This window comes from Homo sapiens, chromosome 12 (genome assembly GCF_000001405.40).
Source record: "Homo sapiens chromosome 12, GRCh38.p14 Primary Assembly".
NCBI classification, from domain to species: domain Eukaryota; kingdom Metazoa; phylum Chordata; class Mammalia; order Primates; family Hominidae; genus Homo; species Homo sapiens.
In genome coordinates, this window is record NC_000012.12 from 123,158,788 (window position 1) to 123,175,903 (window position 17,116).

General features: G+C 43.1%; 1 protein-coding gene across 25 annotated transcripts in view, besides 1 other annotated feature; it reads right to left on the minus strand.

Annotated features, from left to right (window-relative positions):
- The window catches only part of MPHOSPH9 (M-phase phosphoprotein 9), a 91,679-nt gene that overhangs the window by 6,464 nt on the left and 68,099 nt on the right, over positions 1–17,116 (minus strand). For 20 of the 25 annotated variants that reach the window (NR_103517.2, XM_017018673.2, XM_047428066.1 and 17 more), the window contains 7 exons: positions 7,868–8,002; positions 6,515–6,690; positions 5,163–5,303; positions 4,227–4,347; positions 3,328–3,431; positions 2,349–2,596; positions 1,994–2,062 (listed from right to left, as the gene is read on the minus strand). Coding sequence is in view for 24 of the 25 variants with exons in the window: in XM_017018673.2 (XP_016874162.1) it covers positions 1,994–2,062; positions 2,349–2,596; positions 3,328–3,431; positions 4,227–4,347; positions 5,163–5,303; positions 6,515–6,690; positions 7,868–8,002 (994 nt within the window). In the remaining variant the exon portion in view is untranslated. Of the gene's footprint in view, positions 1–1,993; positions 2,063–2,348; positions 2,597–3,327; positions 3,432–4,226; positions 4,348–5,162; positions 5,315–6,514; positions 6,691–7,867; positions 8,003–17,116 lie in introns of those variants that run through there. The other 5 variants (XM_047428067.1, XM_017018677.2, XM_047428071.1 and 2 more) reach the window with 4 other exon arrangements.
- Positions 14,382–14,582: a silencer, noted in NCBI's record as "peak2026 fragment used in MPRA reporter construct". NCBI's record gives its function as "represses an SCP1 promoter by STARR-seq MPRAs in K562 erythroleukemia cells {active_cell/tissue: K562}" and the evidence as "EXISTENCE:reporter gene assay evidence [ECO:0000049][PMID:32103011]".

Here is a 17,116-nt window from a genome sequence, read left to right on the forward strand (position 1 = left end):
CCGGCTAATTTTTTTGTATTTTTAGTAGAGACAGGGTTTCACCACATCGGCCAGGCCGGCCTCAAACTCCTGACCTCAAGTGATCTGCCCACCTTGGCCTCCCAAAGTGCTGAGATTACAGGCATGAGCCACTGTTCTCGGCCTCAAAATATCTTTGAATTAGGCCGGGCCCATGTGCCTGTAATCCCAGCTACTCAGGAGGCTGAGGCAGGAGAATCAGTTGAACCAGGGAGTTGGAGGCTGCAGTGAGCCGAGATTGCGTCACTGCGCTCCAGCCTGGTGACACAGCGAGACTCCGTCTCCAAACTAGATAAATAAAAGATTAGCCAAGACAACCCCACACCTTTTAAAAAATGATCACATTGGCAGGTATTTTTTTTTATTATTCTTTTTCAGAGACGGAGTCTTGCTCTGTCACCCAGGCCGAGTGCAGTGGCACGATCTCAGCTCAATGCAACCTCCACCACCCAGGTTCAAGCGATTCTCATGCCTCAGCCTCCCGAGTAGCTAGGACTGCAGGCGTGCACTACCACGCCTGGCTAATTTTTTGTATTTTTAGTAGAGATGGGGTTTTGCCATGTTGGCCAGGCTGGTCTTGAACTCCTGACCTCGTGATCCGCCCACCTCGGCCTCCCAAAGTGCTGGGATTACAGGCATAAGCCATTGCGCCTGGCCATGGCAGGTTTTTTTTTGTTTTTTTTGTTGTTGTTGTTTTCCCAAACATACAGGTTTCAGGATGGGGAAGAGCTTATCTTCATACACGGCAGGTAGGAGTAGAAATTGTCTCAAACATCCTGGGTTACAACTTGACATATATCCAAATCCTTAGAAATTTGCATTTCTTTGGACCTAGCATTTTTATTTCTGGGAATGACTCCTAAGGCAATACTTACACGTGCAAAGAGATATGTTTAAGAACTTTATTGCAGCCTTATTTATGATATCCAAAATTAGAAGCAACCCAAATTTCTACTAAAACATTCTTGGTTAAATACGTTACTGCTGATGGAATATTGTACGTTAATTTAAAAGGATGTTATAGAAAGATATTTCATAACATGAAAAGTTCAATTGAAAGTTTATTTTTTTTTTTTTTTAAGACTGAGTCTTGCTCTATTACCCAGGCTGGAGTGCAGTGGCACCATCTTGGCTCACTGCAACCTCCACCTTCCAGGTTCGAGCAATTCTCCTGCCTCAGCCTCCCGAGTAGCTGGAATTACAGGCGCCCACCCCCACACCATGCCCGGCTAATTTTTGTACTTTAGTAGAGACGGGGTTTCACCATGTGGGCCAGGCTGGTCTCGAACTCCTGACCTCAGGTGACCCGCCTGCATCAGCCTCCCAAAGTGCTGGGATTACCGGCATGAGCCACCACGCCCAGCCTATAAATTATTGACTAATATTTATCAGAACAAAAAGACAAAGTCAGAAAAAAAGAAGTTGGGGGCTGGGCACAGTGGCTGGAACTCCTGACCTCAGGTGATACACCAGCCTCAGCCTCCCAAAGTGCTGGGATTATAGGCGTGAGCCCCTGCGCCCGGCCTACGGCTCACTTTTTGAACCTCTACAGCTATTCAGTTTCCAAAGTGTAACCATTTTATCTGCTTGCTAATGGAAAGGAGTTCAGAAATAAATTACAGATTTGAGGAGGGAGAAATCAAACAAAAAGAGAGGCAATCTGTGAGCACTAACTTAGTGTAAAATCTGTTGAAAAGCATATTGCCATTTGCTCTCAAGTTAGTTTCTTGAAAATACAAGGGCATGAACACCTTCTTCTCTAAGTCTAAAGGTAAAATCAATTTTTATTCCTGAAAGCTAGCTTGCAGTTATAAAATTGCTATAATCAAACACTTCCCGTAAAAGCTAAAAGTTTTGACTGCTGCTTCAGTGTGTCTAATTTTCACTGTGCCATGATTTTTTAAACCCCTCTTAGATAACTGGAACACTGACTGGCATCAAGCCTCTAAAGCAGATTCAAGCTAAGACATTTCACCTGATTTAATCTTGTCTGTAAAGTGATTCGTCCTCCAGGAGAAGGCATCCTGCTTAGTGCTGCCTCAATCTGTTAACACACGAAAAAAATATGTTTAAATTACTGGCAGGGAGGTTTATCACACAGAATGGAAAGAAAAGGTTTTGGCTTAGTATTTCCTTGTCCATTTCATCTCAACTTAATTTCCCTCTGTCAATTAGTAACGACCACATGGCTCAAATCCGTTGCTAGCACAGCTCTGGTATGTTATCCCATTGTAATTTCCTGAGACAGGTTTGACTCAATAATTCCCTTCTCCTTAGACATAAGCATTAAGTTCAGAAAACAATTTTTAAAAATATTTGTTTGTTTTTACCTGGTCCTTTTCTTTTGTAAGTTCATCAAAAAATCGTTCTGTTTCAGCTAGGGTCCGAATTTTTGCTGTATATTCAAAATCATTCCCCTGTGGAGTGACTGAAACCGGCTTACACTGTTCGTAGCTAACTGATTTATTCTTCTCCCAGGCTGTTCTCACAGATACTTTCTTCACTCCATTTGGCACCGGTTCAGGGCAAGAGCTATGATTAACATGGTTATCGGTGGCTTTCTCAGAATAAGTTTTTTCTGTCAGAGAGGAGAGAAATTGCTTATATTTCTTATCAATTTTTCGTGTAGGTTGCATATATATTAAATATGTTGCCCAATTTCACTTTCTGGATATAGCTGCTATGTGGCCCAAAAAAGTAATGAAAAGAGATACAATAATCAATCTTATTTACTCAGTGCTTTTTTCTCCAAAGAATTCTGAAAGCTTTGCCCTCTGTTTGACAATCTTTGCAACTTCCCTTAATGAACTTAAGCAAACTTCATGTAAACATAAATGAACTTTAAGTAAACTTAAAGCAAAAAAAAAAAAAAAAGCTTAAAAACTAAATAATACATCACATTTAGTGGACATACACCAACACTAAACAGTTAATGTTTTGAGGGCCTACCCAAGTGATTTCACATACATTGTCTTATAGCTTTATTCCAAATTTAGAATATAAATGAGAAAAAAAAAGTTACCCAAAGCCTAAGCTGCATATAGAGAATAAAAGTAAAGAGAATAACTGAGCAGTGTGGCCCTGGTAATTAAACATCAACATTCCCTGTACCTCAGTTTCCCAACTTTTCAATGAGGATAACAACATTGACATAACAACACGTAGCATCATGAGTGCTTAGTTTCAGACGCCCTTGAGTGGGAAAATATTTAAGTGCAAGATATTATAATATTTAGAACACTGAGAGATACCAGAATCTCAAAAAATGAATGATTAAAACCATAACTAATATTTTTTAGGAAAAGATACCTTCCGAGTCATCTAGAGGAAGAAACTGGAGTTGCTTTCTTGGATTGGTACGTTGTAATGTAGACACAGGAACAGTATCTAAATCATCCAAAAGTATATCAAATCTATTGAATGAAGCAAGTTACTTGTGAGAAAAAAAATGTTAACTGATTTTCCCTATCTCCACTACAAAGATGAGCTGGCATCCAGCTAACTCACATATTTATGTATTTTCTTAAAAGAAAGCTGGTTATGTAATTGTCTAAAACTGAAATTTATTTCTATTTTCTAACAAAATTGTATTTACAAACTAAAGACTTAAAACACTTACCCATACATTATCTCATTTGATATTTATAAAAACCTTATGAAATAAGCAGGGTAGTTATTATTATCCCCGTTTTATAGAAGAGGAAACTGAGGTTCAATGTGCTTAACTCATCTCCGCAAGAGCCTGACAGAGTTGGGTCTGGAACCAAGAAGCAACATCCCTCCCCGCTAATAGCACACACAGCTGCCCACACTTCGGAGGGGACAGATTCTCAGCAGCACAGGTAAACATGCATTTGGTGCCAGGGCCATACCAGTAAAGCCCACTTTCCTGTACAAATGGCCCAAAAGTTTTCCCGTATCATAAACCTTTTCAGGAAAACAAAGAACTATCATTCTACATACAAAAGCTGACAGGGGTGCTGAGGTGATAATTTAAAATCTAGTAGTAGCAAGTTTACATAGTTAAAAACTGTGTTCATTGTACTGCAGTACTTTAGTTGTAGTATGACATTCACTTATGATTTAAATGAAATTCACAGAGTTCCCACTGGTAACTGAAAAATTAGTGATAGCTAGAGACATAAGTCAACATTTAGAAAAAAATCACTAATATAGTAAACTTTATTCTACAATTTTAGAGAACTTACCGAATTGGACTGCTCTCATTTTTGCTAAGCAGATGACTAAATCCTGGGGACAAGTTTTCTTTAGGGGATCGCTTTGGACTATAAGCCACAGTCACTGGTGTTAGCATAATCTCTCTTTTTGCTATAGAAGAAAATGAAGAGGAAATATTCTTTTCCTTCTATATGTATCAGCATAACAGTTTCTTATTCAGTATTTTTTTTCTAATTTTGAAAGGAATATAATTTCAACGTAAAACTTTGAGAGAGAAATAAGAGTGTACAAAAAAATAAAATCACTCATAATCCTAACACCTAGAGGTAACCACTGTAACACTGTAGTATATCAGACAGTACTTTCAGCACTCTGACTCAAAACTGGTTTTTCAGGATTTTAGAAGTCGACTGGAAATAAGATGGAAACAGCAGTACACTACTGAACATTCCTATAACACAATAATAAGAATCTCCTCAGCTGGTGTGAAAACGGAAATTCAGGACAGGAATTCAATGCTTCAACTTTAAAACCAACCTGTTATTGGCTAAAGAAAAATGGTGACTAATGCTAAGTACTTGAGATCAAATACATAAGAAGTATATTTGAGACTAGCTTGGATTAATTTGATTGAATTAATGTTTGGATAGCTGGCATTTTTAAGTATTAGTTGCAAACAATTTAGTGGACACAATAAATTATTAGTATTAGTTGTAAACAATTTACTGGACACAATAAAAAATCTCACTTTAATAAACAGATTTCTTCATTTACATTTGTAGTATCTATGTGATCAGACAATTTTATTTATGAACAAGATCTTATTTAGGGGTCCTCTGCTCAGAGTACTCTACTAGGTGCTGAGGATACAAGAGAAACCAGAAACAGGCAAGCAGCGGGCACAAATAGATTTGACTCAGAGATCACGCTTTTGAACCCAAGAGATGTACACATCTAACTCTTACTTGGAGTACTTGATTTACGATTTGAAGGTGGTAAAGATGATGATCTCTGTGAGGCCGAATTAAGTCTCTTTTGTCTCTGTTGGGCACACTTTTCTGGAGAACGACTTGCATTAACTGAAGTTTCAGTTTGCCGAGGATTTACTACAGCAGACCAAAAAAAAGCAAAACAAAAAACAAATCAAAACAAGCCTACGCTTCAGTTATCCACCTTTATTAACAGGTGGTTACACATGGTTACACACCAAGCCCCACAGCTTAGGTTCTGCTCAAAGCATTTATTCTCACCAGCTAGGTTATAGTGACTATTTGCAAATGCACCACATTATAATGATAAAAAATGCTTGATGAAGAAAAATATGGGAGTTTATAATGAATTCATTCTGGCTCCCTGTTTACAATCGGCATTCAAGGTGATTTTCAAGAGGGTTATTTTTAGAAAGCAGGTTACTAATTTATTTACTAAGAGACACTGCTTGGGAGATGTAACCGCAAAGACGCTGGCAGGATGACTAAGGGGTCTGAGAAAGCAAGCATAGTGGAAAAGGAGAGAAATGTATTGGTGACCTGGACCTGTGAAAAAACACAGTATTAAAGACACTACTTGCCTTATCTACAGATGCTCAGTAACCAAGAAAGAAGAGGAAATGTTATATCTCACTTCATGAATACCAAATGCCTATCACAGCCTTCTGATGTGTGCAAGTAAGATGGACTGACAGGAATTTTTCAAATATCCTTAGGAATGCCATGTAAGGCCAGGAGCAGTGGTTCACGCCTGTAATCACAACACTTTGTGTTTACACTTTGTGTTGTGTTGTGGAGGACAAGGCGGGTGGACCACTTGAAGCCAGGAGTTCGAGACCAACCTGGCCAACATGGTGAAACTCCGTCTCTGTTAAAAATATTAAAATTAGCCGGGGGTGCTGGAGGGCACCTGTAATTCTAGGTACTTGAGAGGCTGAGGCAGGATGATAGCTTGAACCCTGGAGATGGAGTTTGCAGTGAGCTGAGATTACGCACTGCACTCCAGCCTGGGCAAAAGAGTGAGACTCTGTCTCACTGTCTCAAAAAAAAAAAAAAAAAAAAAAGAATGCCATGTAAGCCTTTTTCATAATCGGAATGTAAGATTCAACTGGCTTTGTACAAAAGGTACATGTTATGCCAGAACTGTGATAAATTATTAACTAGGACATTCAATTCTCTATGAAACGGGGCTGAAGTAGCAGTAAAATAGCAAGTTTACAGAGCTAAAACTTTTAATTTCATTACCTAAATATTTTAATTTTAACGAAGGTAATATAAATGGGGAAAAGATATCTATATCCATCTATCTCAAACAAGGAAATACTCACTATTTGAGGTGTCCTCTTTCTCTGTCTGTGTCCCCCAATTTTTAAATATTTTTCCCTCATCAAGTTCTTTTAAAGCTCTCATGATCGGCGTGTCTGAAGTCTCTCTTTGCTTTTTTATCAACAAGCTTGTTGATGAACTTCCAGGTGAAGAATCCTTTTCCAGAGGTGAACGGTGCCTTAAACAATAATTTTAAGACATACAGTGCTATGGACTAAATGTCTGTATCTTGCCCCCCGCCCCCACACCAAACATACATGTTGAAGCCCTAATCTTCAATGTGATGGTGTGTGGAGGTGGGGTCTTTACGAGGTAATTAGGGTTGGATGAGGTCATGAGGGTGAAGCCTCCAAGATGGGATTAATGCCCTTATGAAAAAGGGAAAGAGGCAGGAGCGCTCTCTCTGTGCACACACACCAAGGAAAGGCCATGTGAGGACATAACCAGGAAGAGGGCCCTCACCAAACACTCAGCACCCTGATCTTGCACTTCCAGCCTCCAGAGGTAGAGAAAGAAATGTGTGTTGTTTATGCCACCCAGTCTACGGTAATTTGTTATAACAGTCCAAGCTAAAACACACACTTTACTGGGGTTGTTAGGGGAATAACAGAGTTGACAATTATACTCCACAATGAGCATGCTTTGCAATGCAAATAAATTAAACCTGCATACAGTGCTTTCCCATCCTTCTAGTCCTACACTTAGAGGAACAGCATCTGCACAGCACCCTGGAGTAAGCGGCTGAGGCTGCTCACGCAGGCTCGGGGCTCGGGCTGGCCAGAGCCATCTGAAGTGGGAGAGGATCTACATCTTTTGTTTGTTTTTAGACAAGGTCTCACTCTGTCACCCAGGCTGGAGTGCAGTGGCACAATCATAGCTCACTGTAGCCTTGAGCTCCCCAGGCTCAAGTAATCCTCCCACCTCAGCCTCCCAAGTAGCTAAAACTACAGGCGCATGTCACCATGCCCGGCTAATATATTTATTTTTTGTAGAGGTGGGATTTTGTCATGCTGCCCAAGCTGGTCTCGAACTCCTAGGCTCAAGCGATCCTCCACGTTGGCCTCCCAAAGTGTTGGGATTACAGGCGTGAGCCACCACACCTGGCCTGAGGATCGACATCCTATCCTAATCACAAACCCATACTGTGCCACTGAGCACAGGTGGGGAAGCTTGGCAGAGCTCATGGAAGTAAAATATTCTAAAAGTAGTAGCCTTTCAAAGTAAAATAAAAGTCAGGTTCTCAAAATTAAGACATTAAAGAACCAAAGAGAGGGCTTCCCAAACTTTTAAAAGCAATTGAAATCTCTAAGAAAACATAACATCCCTAAATAGAATCTTTAGCAAAGTTATCTCACCCTAGGCTACAGGTTTCCTCCAGCTGGTTATCCACGTTACTGTCCTGGGTGTCCAGAGGCTGGCCAGTAAAGATGGAATACTCTGCACCTGGAATCAGCCATTTCCGCCTGCTGACGTCTGAAGTTGCTAGTGTGCTATTAGAATGAAAACGGTCAGGCATTATAAAGGTCTGCACTTCATTTCAGACTGCATGTGCATATAAAACAATCTGCTCTCAAACAGTATTTACACATTTGTACACTAATTTAAAAATCACATGTAACAATCTATATTTTGGATACAATTTATTTTACAGTTTTATGATTCAACTTAACTGTTGTTCTAGGTTTCTGTTACTTCTGAATCTCAGTCAAGATTCAGGTACTTGCGGCTCTGAACATTCCCCTCACTGTCTCTCAGGCATTTCACACCCTTTACACTCTGTGCCCCTACTGTAGCTGAGGGTAAAGTGCTGAAGGAAGCAGGGCTGCCCTTCTTGTTCCCTTCAGACCAGCACTGTCCAACAGAATCTTCTGCAAAACCAGAAATGCTATCTGCACTGTCCAATGCAGCAGTCACAAGTCAGGTGTCACTACTGAACACCTGAAATGTGGCTGCTGAGACTGAAGAACCAATTATAAAACGTTAATTTTAATAATGAAAGTTTTCAGTATCAAAATGGAGTCACTAATGTCAAACTCCCAAAAAATGGAGCTGGGAGGCACAAAGGAGCAGCCTCTCACACAGATGCTGATTATGGGAACTATTCTGAATTCCTCAGAACGACAGTATTCCAGATAATAAGCTGCTTGTACAAGGAAACATCCCTAACAAGGGATGTCTCCACCACTGAGCTAATGCTAATGCCTGCAACATGCTCCTGTAACCAGTGGTCTTTGTTTTAAAATAGCTTAGTGGACTGTGGACTGCCCTTTGTCTTTTAAAGTTTCCTGTGTCCCAACCCCTTTGGACATGCTTATGGTTCACCACAGCATGCGTACTCCAGCTTGCAAACCCCCAACATTTCCAAATAAATTTCTTTGGAGAGTCAGTCTCTGTCACTGATTTTAGGTTGACATGATTGATTTAAATAGTAATAGTGGCTGTTGGCAGGACTGTACTGAACAGCGCAATTCTAGACATTGCTCCCCCAGCTCATCTGAGGTTCCCACCATCATGTTAACCCCCAGTCATTCCCCAGACTTTAGAGCCTGCCTTGTTTTCTCCACACCTATGCCTGTTCTCACACTAGGCAACTTCCTGACCACTCTCTCCAGTGAGGTGACCCTCTACTCCTCAGCCAGCCACCTCAGAGGGTACTTGCTGGCTTTTGTCAAAACCAGAGAACACACTCCCCTTAAGAAACCAATACTCCAAAGACTGTGCCCCTATTCTGCCTCCCGCCCTCAAGCTTCAGCAACGTGACCTACGATCCTTGGCCTCTCCATTTTCCATTTATCAACCCCTCCTAGTCTGACTAGGTCCTCTTGATCTACCCTGAAGTCCACACTCACGATACTTTCTCTCTCACCTTTCACCACACCTGACTGGCAGCAAAATCTGAGGACTGGCTGACTACAAAGGCCGCGCTTCAGGTCTCAACTCCTACCACTGAGCTTTGCTGGAAAAAAGCCACCAGCTGGGCAGACTCATCACCACCTCAAGCGGACACCCCAAACCGCCTGACCGCCTGGCAACATGACTTTCTTTTTTTTTTTTTTTTTTGAGACGGAGTCTCGCTCTGTCACCCAGGCTGGAGTACGGTGGCGTGATCTCGGCTCACTGCAAGCTCCGCCTCCCAGGTTCAAGCGATTCTCCTGCCTCAGCCTCCCAAGTAGCTGGGACTACAGGCGCCTGCCACCACGCCCGGCTAATTTTTTTGTATTTTTAGTAGAGACGGGGTTTCACCGTGTTAGCCAGGATGGTCTCGATCTCCTGACCTCATGATCCGCCCACCTCAGCCTCCCAAAGTGCTGGGATTACAGGTGTGCGCCAACGCACCCGGCCGGCAACATGACTTTCTGTAACCAGCAAGCTTCAGTTCTCCAAACATGACTATCTCACACCCTTTCCACCCTCCTCAAACCTCCCATCCCACCTTCGTTGACAGGTGAAACTTTTGAGTCAAATTCAAAGAAACACCAGAAACCATGAAACAACTCTTGTTTTCTCTCTGTCCCCTTTCACAACCAAACATTTTAGAGGCTGCCTCTTCTATCTACATTCACTTCAACTCCAGTCACTCTTTCCCTCAGTTTTTTTTTTTTTGAGACAGAGTCTCACTCTGTCGCCCAGGCTGGAGTGCAGTGGCGCGATCTCGGCTCACGGCAAGCTCTGCCTCTTGGGTTCACACCATTCTACTGCTTCAGACTCCCGAGTAGCTGGGACTACAGGCGCCCACCACCACGCCCGGCTAATTTTTTGTGTTTTTAGTAGGGATGGGGTTTCACCATGTTATTAGCCAGGATGGTCTTGATCTGCTGACCTCGTGATCCACCCACCTTGGCCTCCCAAAGTGCTGGGATTACAGGCGTGAGCCACTGCGCCCGGCCCAGTTTTTAAATTAAGAACTATTTCAGGGCCAGGCTCAGTGGCTCATGCCTATAATCCTAGCACTTTGAGAGGCCAAGGCGGGCAGATAACGAGGTCAGGAGCTCGAGACCACCCTGGCTAACATGGTGAAACCCCGTCTCTACTAAAAATGCAAAATAAAAATTAGCCAGGTGTGGTGACGGGCACCTGTAGTCCCAGCTACTCAGGAGGCTTAGGCAGGAGAATGGCATAAGCCCAGGAGGCGGAGTTTGCAGTGAGCCGAGATTGCACCACTGCACTTCAGCCTGGGCAACAGAGCGAGACTCCGTCTTAAAAAAAAAAAAAAATCTTCAAACATTCTTGGAAAATTACAAAGAATACTATAACAAGCATCTACTCACCCATTCTCAGTTTTAATAAATGCTAAGATCTTGCCAATTTTTTTTTTTCTTGAGATGGAGTTTTCCTCTGTCACCCAGGCTGGAGTGCAGTGGCGTGATCTCAGCTCACTGCAACCTCTGCCTACCAGGTTCAAGCAATTCTCCTGCCTCAGCCTCCACAGTTGCTGGGATTACAGGGGCCCACCACTGTGCCCAGCTAATTTTTGTATTTTTAGAAGTGACGGGGTTTCACCATGTTGGCCAAACTCCTAACCTTAAGTGATCTGCCCACCTTGGCCTCCCAAAGTGCTGGGATTACAGGTGTGAGCCACGTGCCCAGCCCGATCTTGCAAAATTTGTTTTTAATTATAAGACCAATTTTTATATATTTAATTACACAGAAGGCATAATGTATTAATACACATTTTTAAATGTCTTTTTTTTTTTTTGAGACAGGGTTTTACCCTGTCCCCCAGGCTAAAGTGCAGTGGCATGATCATGGCTCAGTACAGCCTCGACCCCTCAGGCTCAAGTGATTCTCCCACCTCAGCCTCCCGAGCAGCTGGGACTACAGGCGCGTACCACCAACCACCACACCCAGCTTTTTTTTTTTTAAGACAGAGTCTCGCTCTGTCACCCAGGCTGGAGTACAGTGGCTCGATGTCGGCTCACTGCAACCTCCGCCTCTCAGGTTCAAACCATTCTCCTGCCTCAGCCCTGTGAGTAGCTGGGATGACAGCTGCGTGCCACCACATCTGGCTAATTTTTTTGTATTTTTAGTAGAGACGGGGTTTCACCATGTTGGTAAGGCTGGTCTCAAACTCTTGACCTCATGATCCACCTGCCTCAGCCTACCAAAGTGCTGGGATTATAGGCGTGAGCCACTGTGTCTAGCCGCTAACTTTTTATATTTTTTGTAGAGACAGGGTTTTGCCATGTTGCCCAGGCTGGTCTCAAACTCCTGGGCTCAAGCAATTTCCCCACCTTGGCCTCCCAAAATGCTGAAATTATAGACGTGAGCCACCACACCTGGCCTTTAATGCTTTCTCTGTTCAATATTATGTTTGAAATTTATCTGTGTTAGTACATATAAGCTCTATTCATTTTTATCATTTACCCATAGTATGAATATATTTGTCCTTTCTCCCGGCAGTGGAAATATGGTTTTTAATATGCAGCCTTTCGACAATGCTAAAATTAACACGTGTGAAAATTCCTCTAAGGCAAACATCTTAACATGCAACTGTGGGATTTGGTGCACATCTTCAACCTCTCTGACTGTTGCCAAATCACTCTCCAGACAAGCTGTATCAACTGTCAATCATTACTTTGAGAGTTCCTGTCTCTCCATATCTTTGCCAAACGTTAAAGTGTTTCAATTTTAAATATAACCTGTCCGATGGTGTGAATTGTATCTTATTGTTTTAATGTGCATTTTCATGACAATTAACATGTTCTCATTTTTATTAGCCATCAGGGATCTGTGCGCTGCTTGTTATATTCTTTTACCATTTTTTGTTGAGAAAGTTATCTTTTTCTTATTGATTTGTAAGAGTTCTTTCATCTTCTGGATACTTTTCCTTTATTCGTTCCTGTTCACTTTAAAAATACAAAATATCAGCCGGGGCCAGGTACAGTGGCTCACGCCTGTAATCCCAGCACTTTGGGAAGCTGAGGCGGGCGGATCACTTGAGGTCAGGAGTTCGAGACCAGCCTGGCCAACAAGGTAAAACCCCGTCTCTACTAAAAATACAACAAATTAGCAGGCATGGTGGCACGTGCCTGTAGTACCAGCTACTCGGGAGGCTGAGGTGGGAGAATCGTTGAACTTGGGAGGCGAAGGTTGCAGTGAGCCAAGATTGTGCCATTGCACTCCAGCCTGGGTGACAGAGCGAGACTTTGTCTCTAAAATAAAATATCAGCCAGGAACTGTGGCTCACGCCTATAATCCCAGCACTTTGGGAGGCTGAGGTGGGCGGATCACTTGAGGTCAGGAGTTTGAGACCAGCTTGGCTGACATGGCAAAACCCCATCTCTACTAAAAATACAAAAATTAACCAGGCATGGTAGTGGGCACCTGTAATCCCAGCTACTTGGGAAGCTGAGGCAGGAGAATCGCTTGAACATGGGAAGCAGAGGTTACAGTGAGCCGAGATTGTGCCACTGCACTCCAGCCTGGGTGACACAGCGAGACTCCATCTCAAAACAAACAAACAAACAAACAAAAAACATATATTATATATATATCTCAAGCACACATAGACATACAGGTAATATTCATGCCAACCATCCAGCTTTATAAATCTTGGTTATATATTCTTTAAATTAAGAGTAGAACACTATAAAGACAACTAAAGCCCCTGTGCACCTCTCCAATCTCATTCGTTCCCTCCCAAAAGCAACCATTTATACTAAATTTGTGTTCAGCATTCCCATGCACGTTTTCATACGTTTACTATGTTTGCATGAACCCATAAGAAATACAAAATTGCTTCACATGCTAAAGTCAATATAAATAGTATCCTATTTCTTCTGCAACTAGTTTTTTGTTGTTCCATATTATGTCCTTAAGATTAATCCACGTTGACCGTCTAGCTGAGGATCAGCAAATTCTCTCTGTAAAGGGCCAGAGAGTAAACACTTGAGGTTTTATGGGCCAGTGTCTGTTGCAACTACTCCACTTTGCTGTTGCACAAAAGCTGCCGTAGATGCTATGTAAGTGAATAAGCTTGTATTCCATGAAAATTGTATTTGTGGACACTAAAATTTGAATGTTATACAATTTTCTTTCTTTTTTTTTTTTTGAGACAGAGTCTCACTTTCTCACCCAGGCTGGAATGCAGTGGTGTAATCTTGGCTCACTGGAACCTCCGCCTTCCAGGTTCAAGCGATTCTCCTGCCTCAGCCTCCTGAGTAACTGGGACTACAGGCACATGCCACCATACCCAGCTAATTTTTGTATTTTTAATAGAGATGGGGTTTTGCCATGTTGGCCAGGCTGGTCTCGAACTCCTGACCTCAGGTGATCCACCTGCCTTGGCCTCCCAAAGTGCTGGGATTACAGGTGTGGGCCACCACGCCCAGTCCGTCATACAATTTTCATGTGTCATGAAATATTCTTTTTTCCCAAACATGTAAGAATGTAGAAACCATTCTTTACTCAGGGGCCTCACAAAAACAGGTAGTTCATGCCACATGTGGCCCCACAGGCTGGGGTCTGCCAACTCGGTCTCTGCCACCTGCATTGTCATGATGCAGTGTCATGCTTGAGTGTATGACAGTATTTTCCATATTCCAGCTGTTAGACTTTCAGGTTTTCATTCACTTTTTTTTTTTTTTTTTTTTTTTTTTTTGAGACAGAGCGGTGCTCTGTCACCCAGGCTGGAGTGCAGTGGTGCGATCTTGGCTCACTGCAACCTCCGCCTCCCAGGTTGAAGTGATTCCTCAGCCTCCCGAGTAGCTGGGATTACAGGCCTGCACCACTATGCCTGGCTTATTTTTGTATTTTTAGTAGAGATGGAGTTTCGCCATGTTGGCCAGGCTGGTCTCAAACTCCTGACCTCAAGTGATCCACCTGCCTTGGCCTCCCAAAGTGCTGGGATTAAAGGCGTGAGCCACCACGCCCAGCCTGCATTCACTCGAGTACCCTCTGAATGGGCTTCTACTGTTATCACTCTATCCAGACTGTTCACTAAGCATTAGCCTCCAGCTTGCAAAGACCTTGCAGTCTTCACCTTGATCTCTCAAGCAGCAATGTGAGATTATGACATATATTATACATCAGTTTTCATTCACAATTCCTGGCTCATAACTTTCATATCCCTTGTTGCAGTCAACAGAATCTCTAACCTTCTCCTGTCTTCCTTTTACCTTACCAGGGTAGGACTCTAATCTGATTATGGGTCATAAGACTCTTGTTCGAATCAGAGAGGGTCCTGCCTCATCCTCTGGGGGAAGGAATGCTGCACAAAGAGGCCAAGAAGGATCTGAACAGAAAGGCCTTGCTGGGTTTAGATCACATCCTTTCTGTCCAATCACATTTCAACACAGTCGTCCAAGCTTCAATCAGGCCTGTCCAATGAAACCTCCATAAAATGCCCAAAAGGACAGGGCTCCAGAGCTTCTGGAGAGCTGAACAAGAGCTCATCCACGCACTGAGGGGGCATCACACCCCAGCTCTACTGGGAAAGAAACTCCTGTGCTGGAGATCCTTCCAGACCTTACTCTGTATCTCTTCAACTGGTTGTTTATTTGTATCCTTTAAAATATCATCTGTAATAAGTTGGTAAACATGATTCTCTGAGTTCTATAAGCCACTCTGGCAAATTAATCAAACCCAAAGAGAGGGCTGTGGGAACCTCAACTTGAAGCCAGTTGGTTAGACGTTTTGGAGGCCTGGACTTGCAAATGGTGTCTGAAATGGGAAGTCTTGGGGACTGAGCCCTCAGCTTATGGGATCTGACCCTATCTCTGGGTAGATAGTATCAGAGATGAATGGGAGGCCACCCAGCTAGGTCCCATGAAGAACTGATTGCTCGCTTGCTGGTGAGGAGAAATGTCACACATTCTGGGTCACAAAAGTCTTCTGAGTCTATTTTTGTTGTGCTGGTGTGAGAGCACAGGGAAACACAAGTTGGGTTTTGCACTCAATACCGGTGGCTGCTTGTTTTCCTCTAGCTTTTTGGCAGCGCTTTCTCGGGTTCCTTTGCCAGCTCTCTCTATCCAACACCAGTGTCAGAGTTCTTGCCCCAGGCCTACTTCTCACTAAACACACTCAGTTTACATCCATTCTACAACTTTACGCACCATCTAGAAAGAGACGACTCCAATTTTTTTTTTTTTTTGAGACGGAGTCTTGCTCAGTTGCCCAGGCTGGAATGCAGTGGCGCGATCTTGGCTCCCTGCAAGCTCCGCCTCCCGGGTTCACGCCATTCTCCTGCCTCAGTCTCCTGAGTAGCTGGGACTACAGGCGCCCGCCACCACACCCGGCTAATTTTTTGTATTTTTAGTAGAGATGGGGTTTCACCATGTTAGCCAGGATGGTCTCGATCTCCTGACCTCGTGATCCGCCCATCTCGGCCTCCCAAAGTGCTGGGATTACAGGCGTGAGCCACCGCACCCGGCATGACTCCAAAATTTATCATACCATCCTAAAACCTTATTTTTGAGCTCCAAACTCATTTATAATTGCCTATTTGATTTCCACTTAGAATCGATATGAATCTCAAACAAAAATATTCAAGATGGAAATTCTGATCTCTTCCCTAAGTTCAACACATGAACTAGGTACCTTTAGTTGTTTGAGAGAGAAACCAAGGAATTATTCCAACACCTCCCTTTCTTACCTTGCCATCCAATTCACAACCATATCCTATAGATCCTACCTCTAGAATCTCTCCCGAAGAGTCTCTATTGTCTATTTCTGTGACCACCACCTAGCTAACACCACCTCTCTCCTAGCACTGCACCAGACTAACTAGTCTCCTGCTTCCATTCTTTCCTTCTCCATCTTCTCATGGCAGGTACATTAATAAAAATTAGATAACATCATTTTACCACATAAAAACCTTCAAAGGCTTCCCAATGGACTTAGGGCAAGATCTAACTTTTTTTTTTTTTTCTGAGACGGAGTCTTGCTCTGTCTCCCAGGCTGGAGTGCAGTGGCGCAATCTCGACTCACTGCAAGCTCCGCCTCCCGGGTTCACACCATTCTCCTGCCTCAGCCTCCGGAGTAGCTGGGACTACAGGCGCCAGCCACCGCGCCCGGCTAATTTTTTTTGTATTTTTTAGTAGAGACAGGGTTTCATCGTGTTAGCCAGGATGGTCTCGATCTCCTGACCTTGTGATCCGCCCGCCTCGGCCTCCCAAACTGCTGGGATTACAGGCGTGAGCCACGGCGCCCAGCCAAGATCCAACTCTTGATCACGGCTTAGAAAGCTATAAATGGTCAATCTCTGATTTCATCTAGGGCAACTTTGCCTCTTGCTGGAAATATTCAGGCCACACTAACCTCCCTTAGGCTCTTCAAATATGCTAAGCTCTTTCCTACCTGAGGACTTACCAAGGCAATTTCTCTGCATGGACCACCTCCCAGACACCCCACCCTGCCCACCCTCCCATCCCTCACCCCACACCTCCTGCTCCAGCAATTCTATGCACAGGTGACTCCTCTGCTTATGAGCCTCCTCTAAAGAAAGGCCTTCCCTGGTCCCCAACCCGAAGCTCTCTCTTTTATCTCTCTCAAATGTTCAATTTGTTACTTACATCTTTTCTTTAAAAAAAAAAAAAAAAAAAGAATTTCCTATGTTCTACTAAGATTAATTAACAAAGACCTAGAAAAATCTTCTCTTACAATTT